The sequence below is a fragment of the Homo sapiens genome, chromosome 4 (assembly GCF_000001405.40).
Source record: "Homo sapiens chromosome 4, GRCh38.p14 Primary Assembly".
Classification (NCBI taxonomy): Eukaryota; Metazoa; Chordata; class Mammalia; order Primates; family Hominidae; genus Homo; species Homo sapiens.
In genome coordinates this window covers 139,556,605-139,582,273 of record NC_000004.12, presented here as the reverse complement: position 1 = coordinate 139,582,273, position 25,669 = coordinate 139,556,605, and the positions used below count along the sequence as shown (strand labels likewise).

The 25,669-nt window shown below is 44.3% G+C and overlaps 1 long non-coding RNA gene across 1 annotated transcript, besides 1 other annotated feature; it reads right to left on the bottom strand.

Annotated features, from left to right (window-relative positions):
- Positions 1 to 2,107: 2,107 nt before the first annotated feature.
- Positions 2,108 to 13,599, bottom strand: LOC105377451 (uncharacterized). Its single transcript, XR_939251.4, has 3 exons — positions 13,332 to 13,599; positions 5,894 to 5,969; positions 2,108 to 3,863 (listed from the first exon to the last, which is right to left on the bottom strand). It is a non-coding gene; the product is annotated as an uncharacterized LOC105377451 (long non-coding RNA).
- Positions 24,898 to 25,067: an enhancer, noted in NCBI's record as "active region_21927". NCBI's record gives its function as "activates an Ori minimal core promoter by ATAC-STARR-seq in GM12878 lymphoblastoid cells {active_cell/tissue: GM12878}" and the evidence as "EXISTENCE:reporter gene assay evidence [ECO:0000049][PMID:35858748]".

Genomic DNA, 25,669 nt, shown 5'->3' with positions numbered 1-25,669 from the left:
CTGCTGCCAGTCCACATGGGACTTTTGGACAAATTAGAAGAGGTGGCCCTTATGCTTTACTTTCATCTGTTGAAAAATTGTCATAATATACTGATTCTGTTTGAATAAGACCCTTTAGCACCATCTGCAGGAAAATCATCTGTGATGTCTAACATGTGAACAGGGCTCTCTTAGAGTTAAAATCATGTGGCTTCAAAACCAAACAATTTGGATTCAGCCTCTAGCTCTGCATCTTCCAGCAGCTGACCTTGGGCAAATTGCTTAAGTTTTCTGAGCTCCAGGTTTCCCTACTGGTAAAATGGGAATAATATTTGTAATTATCAAGCTTGTAACCAGGATTAAATGAGATGATGTAAAGCATTTAACATTATGCTCATCAAATACTATGGGTTGTGGAGAAAGGACAGAAACATACACATTAGCAGTGCTCATGATGTACATTAAAAATAGGGAAAATGAGCAGAGAAGTAGCAGGGTGTTCATTAGGCTCTGAGGTCCCATTATCCCTAGAGAGATCCCCCAGCACAGGGCACAGACACACCATGGAAAGATCCCAAGAGTGGGAAACCATCTTTGCAAAAATTGTATCTAAGGAAATTATGATAGTGAAAGAGACCAGGCCTAACCAACTCCACCTTGCTTCTAACCTTTCAGCTGTCCTTGCTCATTCCTGGCCATAGGCCGAACTAACCTTGGGAAGGAATTTAGTTTATGGTTTGATTCTGAAACAAAATTGTTAATAGCCCTTTCCCCACAAGACTCCCTTCTTGCCTGGGGACCCGACTGCCTTTGCAGGACTAACAAATTAGCTACAAGATTACAAATTACAGTTTAGGGGTCTGGCAGCTTCTGGCTGCAAGAGTCTGAACCTCCCCAAATTGTTCCTGGGAATAACATCACCATCGTAAAACCTTAGATCAGTGCTTGAGAGATTTCGCAGCCGCTTCACTTGATGGGTCAGCTGACACCACCCAGACTGGTAATCTGGCTCAACCAGTTCTGCGATCCCACCCAGGAACAGAAGACGCAAGAAAACCTCACTTCAACCCCGCTATGATTCCATCTCCAACCTGACCAATCAGCACTCCCCATTCCTGAGGCCCTACCCGCCAAATTATCTTTAAAAACTCTAATCCTGGAATGCTCAGGGAGACTGGTTTGAGTAATAATAAAACTCCAGTCTCCCACACAGCTGGCTCTTCATGAATTACTCTTTCTCCATTGCAATTCCTGCCCTGATAAATCAGCTCTGTCTGGACAGCAGGCAAGGTGAACCCCCTGGGCTGTTACAAGAGGGGATGGGCCCAATTGTGCTGCACACACAGAAAGAGAAAAAAGCAGGGTGATATGGTTTGGCTGTGTCCTCACCCAAATCATCTTGAATTGTAATAACCCCCACGTGTCATGGGCGAGGACAGGTGGAGATAACTGAATCATGGGGGCGGTTTCCCCTATATTGTTCTTGTGGCAGTGAATAAGTCTCACAAGATCTGATGGTTTTATAATTGGGAGCTCCCCTGCACAAGCTCTCTTGCCTGCCACCATGTAAGACATGACTTTGCTCCTCATTCATCTTCTGCCATGATTGTGAGGTCCCCAGCCATGTGGAACTGTGAGTCAATTAAACCTCTTGCCTTTATAAATTACCCGATCTAGGGTATGTCTTCATTAGCAGTGTGAGAACTGACTAATACACAGGAGAACATCTAGATAACACTGTAGTGCTGGAGCTTCTCGAGCCAGGAAACAGCTTTGGTAGAAAGGGTAGGCTGCAGAGCTCAGTCTCTGGCATCAGCCTCTTTGTCCCTTTGGCTAACCCAGGCAAGATGCCACCAAAGGGGAGGAAATGAGCCCCTAGTGCCATGTGGATTTTCCCTCCTCTGTGAGAGTCACAGAAGAAAACATGAGGAAACAGAAGCATTTGCTCACCCAAGGAATGGGTTGAACTCAGCTTTGCCAGTTTCTATAGCCATGCTGCCTCAACTAACAAGTCAGGCTAGAAATCATTAAACCAGTTTAATTGAAATTAATTCAAAATCTCTTGGAGTCATAAATTGAAAAGGACTTCAGAGATAATGAAATTCGAGCCTATATTTGTAAACAAAAGTGAGACTCAAAGTGGGTTATTTATTTGGTGACCAGTACAAAGTGGCAGAGTCAGGACTTGAACTTTTATCTTCCAAATTCCATTTCCTCCTAAATTGCAATGAAGTGCAATTTAACACACAAGTCACAGAGATCCTATTAAAAGGGCTTTATAGCTTTAATCTAAAAACGTCTGAGGAAAAGAAAGTAGCTTCCAGAGCAAACCAAGAGAGCAAGGGAACCTAAAGATGATTGATTAATTTAGTTTAAAACCTTTGACTGCTGGCCAGGCTCGGTGGCTTGCCCCTGTAATCCCAGCACTTTGGGAGGCTGAGGCGAGCAGATCAATTGAGGTCAGGAGTTCAAGAGCAGCCTGGCCAACGTGGTGAAGCCCCATCTCTGCTAAAAATACAAAAATTAGCCAGGTGCAGTGGCACACACCTGTGAGCCCAGCTACTCAGGAGGCTGAGACACAAGAATTACTTGAACCCAGGAGGCGGAAGTTGCAGTGAGCTGAGATCACACCACTGCACTCCAGCCTGGGTGACAGTGAGTGACTCTGTCTCGAATAAATAAATAAATAAATGAAACCTTTGACTTCCATAAATAACAGGGAAAAACTAGATAATTTAGCAAATAATAAGGAAAACACTATTTATTAAAGCTTATGAGATGTAGTCAATATTTGGTCAAAGAAAAAGTCACAATCTTAAAATCATTTTAGCTTAAGAACAGTGAAGGTGAAGGAAGTAATTATCCAACTCAAGAAAAATAGAAAAAGAATATTTTTTAAAATATAAGGAAAATAGAAGGAAGGAACTAAAAATGAAAGAATATAATTAGTTTGAAAACAACGTTCAAGACCAGCCTAGGCAACATGGTGAGACCCCCATCTCTACAGAAAAATTTTAAAAATTAGCCAGGCATGGTGGCATGCACCCATAGCCCTAGCTACTCAGGAGGCTGAGGTAGGAGTATTACTGAAGCCCAGAAGTTCAAGGCTGCAGTGAGCTAGGGTCGCACCACACTCAGGCTGAGCAACAGAATGAGATCCTGAAAGGAAGAAAGAAAGAAAGAAAAGAAAGAAAGAAAGAAAGAAAGAAAGAAAGAAAGAAAGAAAGAAAGAAAGAAAGAAAGGAAAGAAAGAAAAGAAAGAGAGAGAGAGAGAAAGAAAGAGAAAGAAAGAAAGAAAAGAAAAGAAAGAGAAACGAAGGAAGGAGAAAGAGAGAAAGAAAAAAGAGAAAGAAAAAAGAAAGAAAGAAAAAAAAGAAAGAAAGAAAGAAAGAAAAAGAAAAGAAAGGGCATGAAAGAAAGGAAGAAAGAAAGACAAAATCAGTGGGATTGATTGATTGATTGATTGTTGGGAGACAGTTCTCCAAAATCTCTTGGTTTGTGAATACCTCAGGACAGGGGCAGAGGCAGAGGCACTGGCTGCCTTTCTTGTGGACCATCTCTTCAGGGACGTTTGTATAGCAAACAGCTTTGCAAGACAAAGAGAGGGTCTTTACCCAGAGCCAAGCGCCCAGCTTACTGTCCTTATAAAAGATTCCGGTTCCCTAAATTTAGGACTTAGATTCCTCTCCTGTAACCCACTCTGTGTGCAGACATTATGAGACTTTCATGATGTTAGGTGGAACTGGGGTTAGGGAACTGGCACAAATCTCTCACCTAGGAGACCACTGGCAGACTAACTTGTTAGCCGGCACGTAGGAGAAAAAAAAAATATCAGGCCCTTTGCAGGTCTTCATATGGATAAAGAAATCCAAGAGCTGGTTCCACTGAGGGGAAAAAAAAACAACCAGAAACAATAATAAATAATCCATTAACTGGTCTTGAACAGCGCAAGAAGACAGCTTCAACTCCCCATGATTTCATCTCTGACCTGACCAATTAGCACTCCCCACTCCCCACCCACCAAATTATCCTTAAAAACTCTGATCTCCGAATACTCGGGCAGACTGATTTGAGTAATAATAAAGCAACTCTGGTCTCCCACACAGTCGGTTCTGTGTTAATTACTCTTTCTTTATTGCAATCCCCCTGTCTTGATAAATCAACTCTGTCTAGGCAGTGGGCAAGGTGAACCTATTGGCTGGTTACAGTCTAATTTTAAAAACTAGGGGAAAATACAAATAGATTAACACATATATAGGAAACTATAATTCTTGTAAAAGAATTATTTGCACAACTATATGCTGATAGTTTAAAAATCAGAGTGAAATGGATAATTTTTAGGAAAATGTAAAATATCAAAATTCAAGCAAAAAGAAAAACCTGAACCAAAGGTTTTTCTGAACAGGCCAATCTCATCCAATAAACTGAGAGGCCAAAGCTAAGGTCTTGGTCTACTCAGCAGATAAGCCACATTCTTCCAGGGCCCACCCATTCACTTTCCCCTGGCTCTTAATCAAAGATTGAGACAGCCTCTTCAGTCCCCAGGCCCATGCTAGGCTGTGCTCCGAGTTGAAAATGGAGGTCAAGTTTGCCAGCCTTGACTCCAAACACTATAATATCATCATATGACCAAACTAATTGCATTTTTTTTACTAGAGCAAGAAGAAAGAGAAATAAAAAACAATTTTTATTAAATTATGTTGATATATAGTCCTTATGAGTCCTAACCTTTACATTTGGTGAAGTTTTCTTTATTTATAAAATAATACCTTTGCCCTGGAAATGCTGGCTCAGAAGCAACTGATTTTGATTTGACAGTAAGATCACCAGAAAGAGTCTTTTTGTGCATGTCAGTGCATTCTTTTGGTTTAATCTGCTGCTATATACAAAGACTCTTCCCTGTACAATCCACTTGTTAGAACAGAGCAGAGGGCTGGGCGTGGTGGCTCACATCTGTAATTCCAGCACTTTGGGAGGCTGAGGCAGGTGGATCATTTGAGGTCAGGAGTTTGAGACCAGCTTGTCCAACATGGTGAAACCCCACCTCTACTAAAAATACAAAAACATTAGCCAGGCATGGTGGCACGTGCCTGTAATCCCAGCTACTTGGGAGGCTGAGATAGGAGAATCGCTTAAACTCAGGAGGCGGAGGTTGCGGTGAGCCAAGATCGCCCCACTGCACTCCAGCCTGGGTGACAGAGCGAGATCATGTTTCAAAAAATAAAAATAAAAATAAAAAATAGAGCAGTGGTTCTCAAAGTGTGGTCTCTGAACAAGCAGCATCAGCACATTTTTGGGCCATTCGCTACTGTAATGGACTGAATGTCTGTGTCTCCCACAAAATTCATATGACAAAATCGTAATCCTCAAGGTGATGATGGTACTAGGAGGTGGGGCCTTTGGGAGGTGATTGGGTTATGAGGGAAGAATTCTCATGAATAGGATCAGTGCCCTTATAAAAGAGGCCCTAGGGAGCTCCCATACCCCTTCTGCCATGTGAGAACATAGTGAGAAGTCATTGTCTATAAACCAGAAAACAGGCCTTCACCAGGCACCAAATCTGCCAGCACCTTGACCCTAGACATCCCAACCTCCAGAACTGTGCGAAATAAATGTTTGTTGTTTAAGCCACCCCGTCTATGGTACTTTTTTATAGCAGCCCGACTGGCTAAGATACAGGGTGAATCAGGAACTCTGGGGGTGGAGCCCCGCAATCTGTCTTTCAACAAGCACCCCCAGGTGATTCTGAAGCACGCTCGAGTATGATAAGTACTGTAATAAGCTATATTCATGTGATCTCCTTTAGTATCCACCAGAGCCCACTTCCTGTTGGTTGCATCAACCCTACTCAGAAGGAAAAAATTCCATTCCTTTGCAGCCCCCCTCCCGCTATAAATAGTGAACACTTGCTCACCAGCAGCTGGAGTTCCGGCCCATCCTTGCTGGAGCTCTCCAGGCTCTGTGAGGCAGCTGCTGCAGAATACCAATAGCTGAAAGAACAAGGATATTCACATGTGCTGAAAATTTGACAATCTCTTAGGCCTTGCTCAGTAGAGTTATAAGATAGTTTTGCCTTATAGGAAAGCAAGTATTCCGCACCCCCTTTTTTTAAGTGATGGAGCCAATTCACAGCTACAGCTCCCAATTCTAGCTAAATGTGGGATTTAAAGAGGCAGCAAGATCCAAAGCTGAGGCAACAAAACTAGAAGGACCAGAAACTAGAATCCTTTCTCTGTCTCTGTTCCTAATTCACCATATGACCTTGGGAACATTAGGTAAGCTTTTAATTGTTTAATATTCCTGGATGTGAAATATGAGAGATAATGACCCCTTTTTCCTTTTTCACGGACCAGTATTTAGATTCATTACATGATCTAGAAAAACAGGTTTTAAAAAGAGCCACAGGCAGAGCTGGCCCTTGGTCTAGTCTCTACCCACCTTCTCCCAAACTCAGGGAAAGATTGGGAAGGGCTAGTAATGTAAAGACTCTCTCACTCATACACACACATGCATGACATGAGCCGTTAACCCAGCACCAAAGTCACCATCAAGACAAATTGGGCACTGCAGCCCTTGGCTTGTCTCTCTGACTTCAGCGGTATGAGGGAGGTATAGGGTGCATTTTCATGATTATCTTACCCTATGTTCACCCTGATCAAAATTTTTGAGCCCAAAATAGGGACACATAGCCTAACAAATTGAGGCGACCTATGGGGAAACTAGGCAGGATTTTTAAAATCAAAGGACATAGATTGCAATCCTCTCACCTCCTGGAAAAATCTCCCAGCACTTGCCCTTCCAAGGGTTCTTGTGATCTGCCTCCACCTGCCTCGCCTTGGGAGCACTTTCAGAACCCGAGCCTTTTCTTTGCTGTTCCTTCATGCGTTCCAGGTGCTCAATATGTGTTTGTCGAATGAAAGATAAGAGTGTCTGGATGGATTCTTCCCCTTTGAGGGAGTACTTGATGCACATTTTAGCCCACTTTCACCTGCTTGTTACAGATGGCTGCATACTGCTCTGTGTTAATCCCCACCACAGGCGCCTGGGGCCATTGCTTCTCAAGATGTAGGATTTGATCACAATCAGAAGCCTTAGTTGTTGCTCCTACAACCTTCTTTCACAGATAAACCAAGGCTCAGAGAGAAGAAATGACCTGGATCTATACTTGGTCTAGAAAATTCATTGTTAATGCATTAAGTTATTGAGTGACAATTGCTATAAAAAAAACTTGGAAATCTTCAGAAGCTAATAACGGATTTGGGATATAAAGGACATCTGGATATTGTCTTTGAGGGATGAGGAGCATACTTGCACGCAATTCGGCACTTACCCCTTTGTTACTACAATCAACTAATTCAGCTACAATCACAAAGAGCAAAAGATAACACTTTTGAAACTAGGGCTGATGCAATTTGGCTCCCACAGACCTGCCTGAGTCCTTTCCAGGATTATAGACCTCCCAAAGCTCCAGGCAAGAGGGAATGTGCCCTCAAGGGTTTCTTAATATGTCCCTCAAGGAACACAGCCAAGACTTTTATAGTTGCTCTTGATCTATTGCTTACTGTGCCAATCAGTTTATGAGGGAGGCCTTGGGTTTTAAGCATCTTTGTGTTGAAGAAGCTGGCATTTGGAGAGGGGCTTTCTGCCCGAGTAGAGGAATCATAATTAGGGAAAGAATTCAAAATTCAAAATGAAGGTGCAGCCCGTGCACAGTGGCTCACGCCTGTAATCCCAGCATTTTGGGAGGCGGAGGAGGGCAGATTACCTGAGGTCAAAAGTTTGAGACCTGCCTGGCCAACATGGTGAAACTCCGTCTCTACTAAAAATACAAAAATTAGCCGGGCATGATGGCTGGTGCCTGTAATCCCAGCTACTCAGGAGGCTGAGGCAGGAGAATCACTTGAACCTGGAAGGCAGAGGTTGCAGTAAGCCAAGACTGCACCACTGTACTCCAGCCTGGGCGACAGAGTGAGACTCTGTCTCTGTCTTAAAAACTAAAAATAATAAAGTTTAAAATGAAGTCTACCCAGCAGGGTGAGCCTGGGCAGAATTCTAAGAGGCAGGAGGCTGTCCTGTCTTTAGCATCTCCCCCTTCTCTGCTTATACTTGCCCTGCATCCTTCACAGAGGCTGTGTCTCCTCAACCTCATGCCTACCTAACACCTCAGTGTCCCCCTGGCCTGACTCCATGGTCCTCTCCAGATCCACCTCTGCCTTTGCACCCCAGGCTCTAAACTTAACCTTCTCTCCCAAATGAAAGTTGCTTCTCTTCTGCATTGATCTCATTTGTGCACAGTAAAGTGTTGCTATTTCAGATCTGCCTATGGTAGATCAGAAAGGCGGGTAGATGGACAGAGACAATACCTCCTCCTTTGATAGCAAAGTGACATTTTTGTCTATTCAAGTCCCAAAGGCCAGATTCAAATTATACCTTTTCCTCTGCTGATGTAAGTTACAGGCCCACTGTTGTGCCCTTGGAAGGGTATGTGCAGAAGGCCCAAATAAGTGATAGAAAAGGTCCCCCAAAGTTCCCCAAACGTTATTCTTCCATGATAATAGCACCATGATTTGCAGACTGTCTACCAGGCATTAGGCACTCCAAATCTCACCACCAGCCTATGAGGTGTTATCACCCTCATGTTACAGATGAGAAAACTGAGGCTCAGAGACGTTAGTGTACTAACTGGCTGTTGGTGATAGAGCTTGAATCTGAACCCAGGTCTGCTTGGCTTCAATGAGTAAAACAGGGACTTTGCTCTCTAGTGAAGACCAGGGACCATGAGGATAAATTCTGATGACCATTTGAAATCAAGACCCAGTGAGAGGCTCTGCTGCCAGCTAGAGCGGACAGGAGTGTTGTCTTGTGCTTGTCTGGGTGGAAGGCAGAGAACAGTTCACTGGAAATGAGACAGTTTGTAACATGTTCTTGACAGAGTCCTGCCTGAAAGAATGCTTCTCTCTTTAAACAAAACAAATAATTCGTTTTCAAGTTTACTCACAAACAGAACCAACTTAAGTTTTTGTATCCAAACATTCTTGATAAGTAACAAACTCTTTGGTGATAACATCTTGCAGGGAAGAGACTTTAGACAGCAAAATGTAAAACACTTTTCTTACTTTGGAGAATTTTTGAGAGAAAGAACTGTTACTGTTATGGGTTCAATTGTGTCCAAACCCTAACCCCCAGAACCTCAAAATGTGCTCTCATTTAGAAATACAGGCTTTGGCCAAGCAGAGTGGCTCATGCCTGCAATCCCAGGTGGGAGGACTGCTTGAGGCCAGGAGTTTGAGACCGGCCTGGGCAAGAAAAAATAAGAAATAAAAATTAGCCAGGCATTGTGGCACATGCATCTAGTCCCAGCTACTTGGAGGCTGAGGTGGGAGGATTGTTTGAGCCTAGGAGTTTGAGGCTGCAGTGAGCCAATATTGTGCCACTGCAGAAGGAAGGAAGGAAGGAAGGAAGGAAGGAAGGAAGGAAGGAAGGAAGGAAGGGAGGGAGGGAGGGAGGGAGGGAGGGAGGGAGGAAGGGAGGGAGGGTAGAGAGAGAGGAAGGAAGGAAGGCAGGGAGGGAGACAGAGAGAGAGAAAGAAAGAAGGAAGGAAAGAAAGAAAGGAAGGAAAGAAAGAAGGAAAGAAAGAAAGAGCGAGCTTGGGAGATGTAATCAAGTTGAAATCATGATTAGGGCGGGCCTTAATCCAATATGACTAGTGTCATATTGCGGAAAGTTAGACACAAAGACCGATGTGCACACAGGAAGGCAATGTAAAGACACAGGAAGAATGTGGTCATGTGCCGCCAGTGGCTCACGCCTGTAATCCCAGCACTTTGGGAGGCCAAGGTGGGCTGATCACTTGAGGTCAGGAGTTGGAGGCCAGCCTGGCCAACATGGTGAAACCCCATTTCTATTAAAAATACAAAAATTAGCTGGGCGTGGTGGCATACACTTGCAGTCCCAGCTACTCGGGAGGCTGAGGCACGAGAATCGCTTGAACCCAGGAGGCGGAGTTTGCACTGAGCCAAGATCACGCCATTGCACTCCAGCCTGAGCGACAGCAGCGACTCCATCTCAAAAAAAAAAAGAAGAAGAAGAAGAAGAAGATGGAAGATGGCCGTGTGACTGAAGTGACACATCTACAAGCCAAGGAAACACTAGAAACTTAGAAGCAAGAAAGGATTCCCCGCTATGGGTTTCAGTGGGAGCATGGCCCTGCTGACACCTTGATTTCAGACTTCCAGCCTCTTAACCTGTAAGAAAACACTTTTCCGCTATGTAAGTCACTCAGCTTGTGGTACTTTCTTTAGAGCAGCCCTAAGAAACTGATGCAATCACCAACCTAGATTTTAAAATAATAACAACAGAAGCAATAATGGTGTGAAATAACACGTCCTCATTTAATCCTCTCAATAAACCAGTGAAGTGGGTATTATTATTTTCCTCATTTTAGAAAGAGGCAGGCCGGCACAGCTAAGTAAGGCTGAGAAATTTGCTAAAAAGGGATGGGGCTTTGATTTGACTCTGGGCCACCTGACCTGGAAGCCTTCTATGTTATACTCCTGCTGACACTGTAGAGTAGGCTCCATGGAAAACCTCAACTGCCTGGAAAGGAAACCCACACAACTCCCCAGCCAGGGAGGCCAATATTTATGGCCTTGTCTTATTATTTCAGTTAAAGTAAAATTGTAAGTAGCTACAAAATGTAACTGTTCCAAACACATTACTAAATAAAATGTAAAGTAGTTTTAAATTAGTAATCATCTGGGATTATCTAGACACTGCTTCCCACTATTAGTATAAATTAGTCAATAATTGAGACTCTGTATTTACAATACAGATAATAAAAGAAGTTATGTAAGAAGTGTGACAGTTTTCATTTTTTCCATTTGATAAAACTGAAACGTGGAGAGACAACTGACCTGTCCAGAAGACGTGGCTGCAGTAATAAATCCAGAACTAGAGCCTAGATCTTTTTATCATACTTTTTTTTTTTTTTTTTTGAGATGGAGTCTCCCTCTGTCACCTAGCCTGGAATGCAGTGGCACAGTCTCGGCTTACTGCAACCTCTGCCTCCTGGGTTCAAGCGAGTCTCCTGCCTCAGCCTCCTGAGTAGCTGAGATTACAGGCGCATGCCACGTTGCCCAGCTAATTTCTGTATTTTTAGTAGAGTCGGGGTTTCACCATGTTGGCCAGGCCAGTCTTGAACTCCTGACCTCAAGTGATACACCCACCTCAGCCTCCCAAAGTGCTGGGATTACAGGTGTAAGCCACTGCGCCGGGCTTTATCATAGTCTTAGTCCAGTATGCTCTGCCTCTTTTAAAAGCAAACTTGTACTGATGTATTCCACATATGCCTTAATGCAAAGAGAGGACATATGTAATACAATTCTTATTTTTCCAATGAGATTCCCCTTCCTCCAAATTAGCCTAATTGGATATATAAACTATTAGGATGTAGACAAGATTCAAATGTCTATGATATTTCAGAGATTAATTTGGTTGCACATATATATTACTTTTTAATTGACACATAATTGTATATATTTATGGGGGACAGAATGATATTTTGATACACATACACCATGTGTAATAATCAACTCAGGGTAATTAGCATACCATAACCTCAAACATTTATCATTTATTTGTGTTGGTGACATTCAAAATCTCTCTGATAGTTATGTGAAAATACATAGTAAATTACTGTTAACTATAATCCTACAGTGCTATAAAAAACTGGAACTTATTCCTCCTCTCTAGCTGTAATTTTTTTTTTTTTTTTTGAGACAGGGTCTCACTCTGTGACTCAGGCTGGAGTGCAGTGGCGTGATCTCAGCTCACAGCAACCTCTGCCTCCCGGGTTGGGGTGATCCTCCTGCCTTAGCCTCCCAAGTAGCTGGTATTACAAGTGTGTGCCACCACACTTGGCTAATTTTTGTATTTTTAGTAGAGATGGGGTTTCGCCATGTTGGCCAGGCTAGTCTTGAACTCCTGACCTTAAGTGATCCACCCACCTTGGCCTTCCAAAGTGCTGGGATTACAGGTGTGAGCCACCGCACCCAGCCTCTAGTTGTAATTTTGTATGTTAATCAACCTCTCCCTATTTTCCCTCTCCCTCTACCCTTCCCAACCTCTAGTTACCACTATTCTACTCTCTGCTTCTGTGAGCTCAACGTTTTTAGCTCCCACATAAGAGTGAGAGCACGTGATCTTTATCCTTCTGTGGTTGCACATATGTTTAAATCACACATTACATAAAACAATACCTTAAGAAATATAGCTTTTTAGGCCGGGCGTGGTGGCTCATGCCTGTAATCCCAGCACTTTGGGAGACCGAGGCGGGTGGATCACCCGAGGTCAGTAGTTCCAGACCAGCCTGGCCAACATGGCAAAACCCCATCTCTACTAAAAATACAAAAATTAGCCGGAAGTGGTGACATGTGCCTGTAATATCAGCTACTCGGGAGGCTGAGGCAGGAGAATCACTTGAACCCAGGAGGTGGAGGTTGCAGTGAGCTGAGCTGGTGCCACTGCACTCCAGCCTAGGTGACAGTGAAGCACCGTATCAAAAAAAAAAAAAAAGAAAGAAAAGAAATACAGGCTTTTAAACATTTGTATTAACTTATCAGGTACAAATGTAATTTTGCTACATGCATAGAAATATAGCTATCTTCAATCCCACATTTCCTGAAACAATTTTATTCAAACTCTTCACATACATCTTTGACACTAATGTCTTCATCACTAGACCCCCTTTCAGAATCATCCCATATAATTTTCAAGATCATACTCTTTTTCCTGCCTAAGCACTTAACATTCCATATAAAACACTCTTGTTGGAAATGTTACCCCATTTTGTAATTTGTCCTCTAAATTTAGATTCATCATCTAAAATATAACTATTTACTGCTATTGCTTTTAAGTGATATTTAGGAGTTCATTTACTTGACATAAAACACTTAATAATTATGAAGTACTCCTTGCAGGAATAATTCCTAACTGTGTCTTCAATTTCTTTGCTTCCTTCTTTACCAGTTCTTCTGGGGTACTCTTTCTACAAGCTTCCAAAATTAGGCTTGATTTCAGGATAATGGGTCTTTCCCAAATAGAACACTTCCTTATTCAAAATAGGAGAAATTTCAAATTCTGGAAAAACGTGAGAAATTTTAGAAGACCTCCTCTATAAGGAGATGGCCCCTGCTTTGGGGGCCTTTTAGGAGATAAAAAGCTTTTGCCTCAAAGTAGCAGCACAAATATCAGATATAGGGGGGAAATGCCTGAAATTACCATGTGGTAAACACCAACGAAACTAAAACTGAGCCCATTATTTTTTTAAGATGTAGTATCATGCTTATACTCACATAACTCAGGCAGAAGCTCTCTGAGGAACTCCATGAGACCCAGGAGCCACCCCCATCACACACTCCAATTTCGGCCTCATGGAAGACTTTCTATAGGTTGACTCCAGCCTCCAGAATTCACTGGGGAGAAGTGTGTGCGTCAGCCCCGCCTGCCCTCTGCATGCTGTGCATCTGCAGGAATGTTCCTCACACGGGCTCAGACCTGCCCAGGCCCAGCTGCTCCAGGACAGACTCGGCTTTCGTCCACAGCCCTGTCAGATGCAGGACTGTGGCCTGGCCATGACAGCTGGGCTTCCACTCCGCTCTCTGAATCTTCCACACCCCTGACCCTTGCTGCTTCTTTCTTCTTTGTTGGAAGCTGCTTTTCCCCAAGCACTAATATTCAACATAAACATTTAAATTGTATTTCTTATTCATTTTCCCTGTTGTGTTTCCTAGAATTTAAACGCATTTTGTTTTCTACTTAGCATAGTGGGTTAAATAGGCTTTTGTGGGCTAGTCTGGGAACATTGTTTCCAATGAAAAATGCATTCTGTGTTGGAAACAAACAACATACACAATGAAACTTTCGGAACACAACCTCTTTGTAGAGTGGGGACTGCCTGTCCTGCCTCATGTATCAGAATTAAAGTCTGCAAAGGTTCTCTTTTCAAATCTCGGCAGCTTTAAAAAAAAAACACACAAAACAAAACAAAACAAAAAAACAATCTGGGATGGAAAGGTAGGAATCTAGCCACATCTTAAAGAACATGAGAAACAGATGTGTTTTTTTGTTTGTTTGTTTTGTTTTGTTTTGTTTTGTTTTGAGACGGAGTCTCGCTCTGTTGCCCAGGTTGGAGTGTAGTGGCACCATCTCGGTTCACTGCAACCTCCTCCTCCCGGGTTCAAGCGATTCTCCTGCCTCAGTGTCCTGAGTAGCTGGGATTACAGGTGCCTGCCATCACGCCCAGCTAATTTTTGTATTTTTAGTAGAGACAAGGGTTCACCACGTTGGCCAGGGTGGTCTCGAACTCCTGACTTCAGGTAATCCACCTGCCTCAGCCTCCCAAAGTGCTGGGATTACAGGCATGAGCCACCGCACCCATCGTTTTTTGTTTTTTTAAATCATCCTCTTTCTAATTGGGGGTAGTGGTGGAGGGTGGGGGATGTAGAAATAAAGTGACATAATTGCCCTCTGCCTCCTTAGGAAAACACCAGACCTCTGAGAAGGAGGTGATTAAACCGTTCAGTCACTTGACAAAGATAATCTAATTAATTAATGAAAGGATTTAACACCCATGTCTGGAGCATTTGCAATGTGCTAGACACCCTTCTGCATATGCCGTGACAGCTCTGACATGACAAACAAGGCCTGTGGAGAAACGCAGACTAGGTAACAGAATAAACAAGAATGTGTAAGGTGGTGACAAATGCTATGATGAAAATTAACAAAGGGAAGTATTAAACCAGAGAAGTATTCAATAGAAGTGTGGCTGGGTAGCTACCCTTGGTTGGGTGGCCAGGGAAGACATCTTTGAGGAAGTGACTTTTATGCTGAGACCAAAAACCAGCTAAGAGAAGATAAGGGGAGGGGAATCCCAGGTAAGGAGGAACTGTGAATGCAAAGGTCCCGAGGTAGGACAGAACAAAATGCAAAGGCCCTGAGGTAGGATAGAACAAAGCAGTCTCGGCCTCCCAAAGTGCTAGGATTACAGGCATGAGCCACCACTCCTGGCTACACTGGAAGGCTTTAAGCAGGGCAAAGCCTTATGTGATCTGACTTGAAAGGCCACTCTCCTACCCATGAAGAACAGGCAAGAGTAGAGGCAGAAGCACAAATGAATTAGATGACAGCAGGGATGCTGGTGGCCACTATGTAGTGTACACTCAACCGTGTGCCTGGAGCTCCTTAAAGCCCTTTATCTGCATTATCCATTAATCCACACAACCTCTCTATAGAGTAATTTCTAGAATTTCCATATTACATATACAGAAAATAAAGTCTAGAAAAGTAATGTGCCTCCAGCTGGTAAGGTTTTTTTTTTTTTAACAACCTCTTTTTATAACTATATAAGTCAATAATAGTCATCATAAGAAACATTTTTTAATGAGCAAAAAGAAAAAATTAAATCACTTGAGATCACATCATCCTGTGATAATTACTATTAACATTTTGGCTTATTTTTACTAGATGTTGTTCCATGCAAGTACATTATCTACTGTTCTCAAAAGCATATGATGCTTGCTTCTACACATTAAATAATTTCTAGATTACGAATGTTTACAATTTTATTATTAATTTTAAGAACACTGCCTACGAGTTCATTTTTTTTTTCTTTTAAGTAGAGACAGGATTTCGCCATGTTGCCCAGGCTGGCCTCAAACTCCTGGGTTCAAGTTATCCACCCATCTCGTCCTCCCAAAGTGCTAGTATTATAGGCGTGAGCTACCACTCCTGGCCTACAAGTTCATCTTGAATGACACTATAAAAAAACGGTGGCTTACACCTGTAATCCCAACACTTTGGGAGGCCAAAGTGGGTGAATCACGAGGTCAGGAGTTCAAGACCAGCCTGGCCAAGATGGTGAAACCCCGTCTCTACTAAAAATATACAAAAATTAGCCGGGCGTGGTGGTGGGCACCTATAATCCCAGCTACTTGGGAGGCTGAGGCAGAGAATTGCTTGAACCCGGGAGGCAGAGGTTGCAGTGAGCTGAGATCACGCCACTGCACTCCAGCCTGGGCTATAGAACGAGACTCTGTCTAAAAAACAAACAAACAAACAACAAAAAAACTGTGGCTGGGTGCAGTGGCTCATGCCTGTAATCCTAGCACTTTGGGAGGCTGAGGTGGGTGGATGGCTTGGGCTCAGAATTTCAAGGCCAGCCTGGGCAACATGGTGAAACCCCATCTATATAAAAAAATTAAAAAATTAGCCAGGTGTAGTGGTGCACGCCTGTAGTCCCAGCTACTAAGAGGACACATTTAATCTATGCATATATATGTATGTATATACGTATATATATGTATAGATATTTTTTTGAGACAGAGTCTCGCTGTGTCACCCAGGCTGGAGTGCAGTGGCACAATCTCAGCTCACTGCAATCTCTGCCTCCTGGGTTCAAGCGATTCTTCTGCCTCAGCCTCCCAAGTAGCTGGGACTACAGGTGCACACCACCATGCCCAGCTAATTTTTGTATTTTTAGTAGAGACAGCGTTTCACCATGTTGCCCAGGCTGGTCTCGAACTCCTGACCTTGTGATCAGCCTGCCTCAGCCTCCCAAAGTGCTGGGATTACAGGCGTGAGCCACCACACCTGGCTATGCTTATACATTTTTATAAAGTGTCTGAAAGGGCATATACCAGATTGTTTATCGTAGTTACTGTTGGTTGTTAGGATTTTGAGTGATTTTTACATTTTCTTTTTGATATTCTATTTAATATCTCTCCAATGAATGTTTTTCTTCTAAAATTAATAAAGTAAATGGTGATTTAAAATTATAGATTAAGACTGGATTTTTAAAAAATTAATGAAGTTCGGCTGGGCTCGGTGGCTCACGCCTGTAATTCCAGCACTTTGGGAGGCCGAGCGGGTGGGTCACCTAAGTTCAGGAGTTCGAGACCAGCCTGGCCAACACGTGAAACCCCATTTCTACTAAAAATACAAAAAAAAATAGCCAGGCATGGTATTGGGCACCTGTAATCCCAGCTACTTGGGAGGCTGAGGCAGGAGAATCGCTTGAACCCAGGAGGTGGACGTTGCACTGAGCTGAGACCGTGCCATTGCACTCCAGCCCGGGCAACAAGCAAACTCCATCTCAAAAATAAATAAGTAAATAAAAATTAATGAAGTTCTTCAAAAAGCATTTTTCTGTCTTCCATTTCCACAGCTCAAAAGTCATCTGTCAGCTGTAACTTGCTCCTAAGATGGTCCTCCTTATCCATGGCCAGCCAGCCTGCTCATAGTGAGCTTGTTTGCACTGGGCCCTCAATGGTAGAAGTTTTTCCTGGCAATATGCTTGCCAAACCTCCTGGACACCTGTACGTCCAGCAGCATGCTAGGCACTGTAAAGGATGGCACATCTGCTGCAGAGAGAATCTCTGCCCTCCACTCAGCCACCAGAACCAGAAAAACAAACTGAACAACTTGAACCCAAGAAGTATATCATCTCAAATAAGGGATGGGGGTCACTTGGGACACCTTCACAAAAGCATACCCCCAGAGACAAGACCAAAGCTCTCCTCTGCCACTAGAGGCCAGCCATGTATACGCTTTTGTGATTTTGTCATTTCCCCTGTGATGCAGTTTGGATGTTGTCCCCTCCCAAATCTCATGTTGAAATGTAATCCCCCATATTGGAGGTGGGGCCTGGTGGGAGGTGGTTGGATCATGGGGGTGGATTTCTCATGAATGGTTTAGCACCATCATTCTGGTGCTGTCCTCATGATAGTGAGTGAGTTTTCAAGAGATGTGGTCGTTTAAGTGTGTAGCACCTTCTGCCTCTCTCTCTTGCTCCTGCTCTGTCCATGTGACTGCCTGCTCCCCCTTCACCTTCTGCCATGATTGTAAGTTTGCTGAGGCCTCCCCAGAAGCTGAGCAGATGCCATCATTCTTACTGTGTAGCCTGCAGAGCCATGATCCAATTAAATCTCTTTTCTTTCTAAATTACCTGGTCTCAGGTATTTCTTTACAGCAATGTGAGAACAGATTAACACACTCCATAAGTCCATCTTGTATGGCACCATAAAACTGATGTAGAGCTTCTTTAAGAACTTTTCCTTTACTCAATAATCTAGAATTATTTCTCCAAAACTGTCCTGTTACTTCCATTTCCTCTATCTGTGCCTTTTCATGGTTTGCACAGCTGTGGTTCCAATCCCACTCTCACTACTTATGTGACTCCAGACAAGTTATTTGAACTCACAGTCTCGGGTTTCCTCATCTATAAATGGAGATCATATTCTGTAAGGTCATTTTCAGGATGAAATGAAATGATGTGACTCAGTCTCCTGGGAAACAGCAGACTGTCTCTAAATGCCATCTCTTGTTGCTTCACCCCTGCCCTCCGATGCCCACCCTCTGAGGAGTCTTGTCACTCTGCATGAAGTGTGAAGTATGGCTGAAGACCCAATGGGCCTTGATTTGAGCCTCATTTGGCCACATTTCAGTTGTGGGATCCTGGGAGAGTCCTTAAACATCTCTGGTCTTGGGGATGAATTATTGTGTGGTGCAAATGAGCTCAGAGATGCCAAATTACATTCCATTCAGGATACATTCCATTCACGATAAACCTTTCCAAATACTTGAAAGGTATATGTCAGCAATAAAAATAGCCCCTTAGATGAAAATGAGCCTATAAACAAGATGACTCTGCTTGGATATAACCAATTCCACAATTCTCAATGCACATTTTCAGAAGGATTATTTTGAAATATTAAGGAAAGTTAGTTGCAGATACTCCAAATTCTATAGGATTGGCGAGAAGGGAGAGATCACTGACTTGCCCCTCTCTCTTATCTTGTCTACAACTGAGAATGAACCTGACCTGGTTCAAATCACAACCTTTGCCACACCATCTTGGGGGAGAGCACAGAACAGGGGACACAGGTGAGGTCGAGGTGCCAAGACTTTACAGCTGAGTAATAACCAGGCTCCCTGCTCTGCTGAAGAACTCACACTATCTCAGACTTAAGACATTCCCCAGATGCCAGGTTGGGAAGTGATGCTTATAACTTCAGAAGACCTACTCTCAACTGGCATTTTTCTCCAAGGAGACAGTACAAGGCCTACCACAGGGCTGCTTTCTTTTTGGTCCTCTATCTTGAGCACAGGAGCATTTGAGCAGGGCTCTTTAAATTTGTCTGAAAGACATTCCAAAAGTTGGCCACAGCATCTTTTCCCAAGAATTGATCTATGGACTCAGCAAGGAGGATCAATAAGACCTTAAATGACCTGAAAGGACACGCCAGATCCAAAGAGGCTGCAAGACAGGTCTCCAGCAAATACATACAGGAAGGGCTGGCTTAGCATCAAGCACCTCCGGGTGAGGGCTGCCTGTAGATCGAGGGTTGTCATTTCAGTGCCAGGTCCCAGAAACACTCTAATCAACCTGTCTTTGTTTGTGACTGAGTGAAGAGGACCACATGGGTATTTTCATTTCTGGATATTGGATTCAAAGCCAGACAGTCCCATTTGGAAAATGAAGAGGACACTTTGCCCTCCATCTATGTTATAGTAGATGGAATCTGCATCCTCAAGGTGGCGTTCCGTTGCCTAAGCTATCATAGCAAAGAGCCAACCTCTCCACTCCTGCACAGAATAGAAATATCTTTGAGCTGAGTGCCCAGGAAAACTTGGATGACTGTATCACAGGACAGGCCACGTGGGTCTTAATATGTCTCTGGTCTCTTTCTCAGAAATCATGGTAGCCTAAGAAGGTTGGCCCACTGTTGATGGCTTGTGAAGCAGAAATGAGGTGCTTTCCCAAGAACTTGAGAACCAGGTTGCTCTCAGAAAGTTTGACTACCAAAATCTGCACACTCAATGGTTTTGACTAGAATTCAGTGGGCATAAACCAAGAGAGTGACTCAATTTGTGACTGAGAAGTTTGAGGATTACCTCAAATTCCCATTAAAGTGACTTGGCTGTAATGCCAGGAAGATAGAGAATGTCATTATGACTTAGAAAGTGTAAATCTGCCTAATGGGCTGTATAGGACGCTGTGTGGAGAATCAGGTTTGGAGAAACTAGAGCACGGAGAAAGAAGCTTGAAGCCTCAGAAGCCATAGGGCCCATCTAAGCAGAGGTGAGTGGGATGGGTGGGCAGCCTCATTCTTTCAGAACACTGTATCAGAGTATTTGTCTTGTGGACCACACAACTAATGTCCTTCATTCTACTCCAGATAACTAAGCAAACTTTTGGATGGAATTTGTCTTCTCAAGTGCATTTATTTATATAGAGAGATCTTTTGCCCTGACAGTGTGAGTATTCTGATCTGTCCATCATAATTCAGGCATACATCTCAGTCTCTCGGGGTCTAGTTAATGTGAGTCCACTTGAGGAAGGTCAAGAGCTGACCCTTGATGAATGTTATGACATTTGTGGTAAATAGGTCAGCTGGAAATACTCCTCTGCCCATCCTGGATATTGTAGTGTCAAAAGAGTATACCATGTACCTGCCCTCTGCAATGTCTACTTTTGCAGAGGACCAATTGCAGGACTCAATAATCTTAATTTTAGCCTAGTAAAGTAATTTTTCAAAAACAATTAGAGAAAATAATATCTATGAAAACACATTTGGTTTTGGTGGCGGTTTGTCTTTATTTTTCAAGTTTCTGCAATCCTATTGTTTTTCTAAAGTAATTTCTAAAACAGATGCCCCTTTGAAAACTATTTCCAATTTTTCTTTGTGTGTGTGTGTGTGTGTGTGAGGGTTTTTTTTGTTGTTGTTTGTTTTTTTGAGATGGAGTCTCACTCCGTGGCCCAGGCTGGAGTGCAGTGCAGTGATGCCATCTCGGCTCATTGCAGCCTCCGCCTCCCAGGTTCAAGTGATTCTCCTTCCTCAGCCTCCCAAGTAGCTGGGACTACAGGCATGCACCACCAGTTTTTGTATTTTTGTAATTTTTGTATTTTTAGTAGAGACAGGGTTTCACCATGTTGGCCAGGCTGGTCATGAACTCCTGACCTCAGGTGATCCACCTGCCTCTGTCTCCCAAAGCGCTGGAATTACAGGCGTGACCCACCGTGCCTGGCCTCATTTTTTTTTTTTCAATCATTTCACTCAGCAGCTTCACTAGGCCCAAGCCTGACATAAGAGTTTTCATATCCCATAATGCAAAAAACCCCAAGAACTCTGTGAAGGAACAATATTGGCCCAGAGTCGACCCAAACAGGGAGATCTGGGCTGCATCTTCCCTCCCCTCCCCGCCCCAGAAAGTCTAAATTTAGTTTACTGGATACCCTGCAATGACATTAACATGTCATTGCAACATTAACATGTTGCAAAAACAAGAATCAAGCAAAAGAGAAAGAGGAAGCTTAATGTGGCATGAGGTATTTTAATACCATGGCAACTGTGGTGTCTTCTCTATTATTTAATTCACTTCCTTAGGTCAGGTTATTCTGCCCTCTCTCTCTTGCACTTCCTGTTGCTGTAATCAAATCAGGTCACCCTGAATCTGTAAGTCTTCTTCCTGACTGCACTCATGTCTATTTCCAGCAGAATGAATTTTCTCCATTTCTTTCTTTGCTCCCTGGACCTTTATTTGGTGCCCTTGATGTCCCTGCTCTTCCCAGTGCTCCACAAGCTGCAAACGCTTCCCTTTCATCCCCATCTCCTCCCCCACCCGTCTCCTCCTCGCTGCTCCTCTCCCAGCCCCTCCCTCCAGCTTCTGCAGTTGTCACTAACACAGTTAGCCACTTGATTAGTGACTCAGTGATTCAGAACCCAGGAACCTTGGTTCTCCTAAAACTTCCATGCTTCCCTCCCTAGAGTCAAGATAAAGGTTCTCCCCTCACCTGCCTGCCCAGATAGAGCCATTAACGTGAGAGGACTTGAGTATTCAGTTTGTTGGAGTTGCCCTGGCTTCTTCCCATTTCCTTTTTATGTGCCTTTTCCTGGGGCTTCTCAGGCTCTATTTACCTTTTCTCCAGAAAAGGTGGACAGAGAAGGTTTGAGCTTCGAATTTATGTAGCCCAACTCTTCATTTACAGATGGGAAAACGAAGGCCCCCCCCCCGGCCCCCGCAGAACTGAATTGCCCAGTTGCTTGGCTAGTTCTTGGTGGAACCAAAACAGACAAAGCAAAAACTCAATCAAACTGGCTAATTTGGTGGGAAAAAATCTTGTGAAGGAGTGAGCAGTGCCAAAACGAGACTTGATGATTATTTAAAAGGTCTTTCACTAATTTTATCCTTGTCATCCTGCTGGCGGTGTAAGCAAGTGATGGAAACCAGAGCCAGGCCAGCAACCATAAAGCCACCAGGGCTTCTGGAGAGGCTCTGATGCGACTTCCTACCGCTGAGGTCTCAGAGGCTCCTCCCTCCCAAATACATGGAGACCCAGAAGACTGCTTGGGCCCCTCCACTCCCTGCCAGCGGGCAGGATGAGGAGTCAGTAACAGCCAACAGTAGTGAATCCCACATAAGTTCCACATTCACTACTTGTTTCACAATTCGCTTAGCATGCATAGCAGCGAATTGACAGAATTGTTTCCCCTAAATGTAGGAAGGTGCATAAAATACAAGAAGCTTGTAAAAATATATTTATTGCAAAAGTTATATCAGTCTTGTATGTAAGCACCAGCCTTCTCCAGGGAAAGACAGGGGTGGTAGAATGAATAAAATTAACTCAGTATTTTGACTGCTTGCTGCAATGGAAGAGGGAATTATGTTTCCCAAGCTGGGTATGAAGAGAAGGAATATAGCCTTGGAGGCAATGGAAACTAAGCCAGAGCAGCTTAGAAAAGTCACCCCTCCTCCTGATTCAAGACCAAAGACAGGGAAAAAAAAGTCACTCTCAGTGTGAACATGAAAGCAAGTCTCACCCAGCCTAGATGTTGGATGTCCTGTGCGGTCCCGTTCCTCCCTGGTAGAGCTTGTTCTGTCTCACTGGGATCTGCCAAGTTAGGAGCTGAGCCACACTACTTCTGCTGCTGCTGTTGCTGCTGCACATTGTTTGTGATTAAGAGTTTTATTGATTTTCTAGCCCATGACCACATTGGTGGGGACAGAGTACGACAGGGGAAACTGGTGGAAAGCCAAGTAGAAAGAGAGTTTATGAAATCAGCTCTCAATGAAGAAAACTGTGGGAAAGAATGCGATGGAAGCAGATTTGGGGCCAGTCGATGTGGGAAAGTAGAACAACTCAAAAATGCTCTTCAGATTTGAACTGAAACAAAGCACTTTGCCAAAACATAGGAGGAGAATCCAGTCTGTGAGAAAGCCTCAGCACTGTTTATATAAAACAGAATATTCCTATCTGCAAAATCATTGCTGACAATGCTTAACCCACATTCTGTACCAGGCACTGTGTTGTGTTCTAGGACCATAAATAAGAATCAGTCCGTCTAGAGAAGGAGACTCGAAACATACACAACATGATTTGTAAAGATACAAGTGGATCTTAAGAGAGTCATAAAAACATTTTGCCCCAGCTTTGGGCCCAGAGCCAGCAGGAATGAATGGTGGGGGAAGAGGGATGGGACTGTGTCCCTGCTGCTGCCTGCCTCATGTGCAGATCTGGTGAAGGTTCTCTGTAGTTTGACCCCGCATCACTACTGACTTTGCTAGAAAGACCCTGCTCCCTTCCTGTCCCTGCCTCTTGTAGGTCCAGAGGACCCCTGCTTCACCGACGGCGGGGGCCGGGGTTGGGGGGTGCCGTAGGCAGGGTTTCAGGTGTTCTCAAGGTAGTAGGTAGAAAGGGAGCGCTTGACAGTTTGGGTGCTTAGTACAGGCTGGGAAAACCTCACAGCACCAAGGGGACAGTTGGACACTTGCAACATGATTCCTCCCCTCTCCTTCACTCCCACACGTACCCACCCACCATGAAACTGTGTCTTCTGTACGTCTTGAGAGATTTCTTCCAGCCTCCCAGCCCTGCCTCACTGCCTTTGAGTAAGAGAATAAAGTCTTTTTGCTGCTTCCTTCAGCTTTCAGCATTGTTTTTCACCCTGAAAATCAACTGGAAACTGGGGAAGACGAGTATCTGGTATGTTTTAGTGCACCAGTATAATATGCAAGGGAGGGGGTGATATGTAAAAAGGTTAAATGAGAAAAAATATCATATAATTCAAAACCAGTGAGTGACCGAGCTCAGTAAATGATGGCTTTTTAAAAATCAGATATAAAATCCTGTTTCTGTGGTTCATGTTTGAAAATGATGTAACCTAAAGTGGCTCTTTCATCTTCCACTGCACGTACACCTTCTCTGTTTAGCCTTGGACTCCCAGTATCTGCACTGGAGGACTTTAAGGAGGTCAAACCTAAGCCAAGAGACTTCAGAGAGGTATAGACTAAGCTAGAGGGTGTCTTGCTTGAGCCAAAGAACCTCAGAGTGCTCTAGCCTAAGCCCCAAGGACCTTATGTCAATGTAGACTAAGCCTCTAATCTGGAGGAATTCAGGCTGGCTGGCTGGGCTCCCAAGACACCTCTGCAGGTGAGCAGCACCAGGACTCAAGTCTCCTAACTTCTGGTCCAGGACCCTCCCCTTTCTAAAACAGTCAAAGGGGCTGAAATTCCTGGAAGTGTGTGGGGCTAATGTCCCTAGCATTGTTCTCTTTTTCATAGAGGAAAAGCTGACTTTAAGAAACAAGCCGGCAATACTTGACAAAAATATCTACCATTTAAGCACAGAGCCAAAAGCAAGGAGTAGTCTCCTGGGCGCTGGAAGTATTTTGAAATCCCCAAAGTCTCATTCATTGATCAGAAAACAAAATGGAATTACTTTTTTTTTGCTCCCTCCTCCCCTCCATGCAGTAGCTGTTCTTGGCGGGTGCCCAGAGCGGCACCCGGTAATTCCACGGTACATTGTGTACATTTACATCTGTTTAATCGGCTATTTACAGTCGCCCTTTACCGCCACCTGTAAGAGGCAGCGCCATAACGACACTAAGTGGCCGGGCCGGAAGCCGGGTGCCCAATGGTTTTCTCCACTTGAGGACGCCTGAATCTGTGAAGTGGTTGGCACTTGGAGAAACAGAGAGACAGCTGGGGACATCACACGTACAGGGCGGGAGGCGCGGGAAAGAGGCGCGCCAGACGGAGGGTCCTTCCTTCCTCGTTAGCTCCACTCGGCGGCTCCTTTTCCATTACCACAGCAGCAAGGAGGAACCTGCCGAGCCTTCGGTGCGGCTTGTTTCCTGCCTGACAGAGAGCCCGCTGCCATTTGGATTTGATGAATTTCTGAATCACCCGAGGGCCTGGCGACCCGAAGGAGGGCGGGGAGTGGGGGCGCTGGGGTGGACCCGCCATCCTGCGGAATCCGGGCCAGATAACAGCCCCCGAGCTGGGGAAATCGGCTTGCGGATGTGATGCGGGACCGCGAGGACACCTGCGCTCCCTTGCGTGTCGCACTCGTGCAGCTCCCGGTGGCGACGGGGTGATGTGGGGGCGAGGGTGAGAGGAAGTCCAGGCGCCAGAGCGTCAGAAACGCTTCCTTAGCTTCCCTGGCACTTTGGAGGTTGTCTCGAGGGAACACGGACAGTGCACGACGGACTTTCAAGTTGCTCCCGGCACAACGGGAGGTCGGGAGCTCGGAGCCCCTACGGGCGGTCCAAGTGTCCGCGAGAAGCCCGCAGCGCCCAGGACCGCGTTGAGCGCTCGGGGCGCGCCAAGCCGCACCTAAGCAAAAGAGAAACGC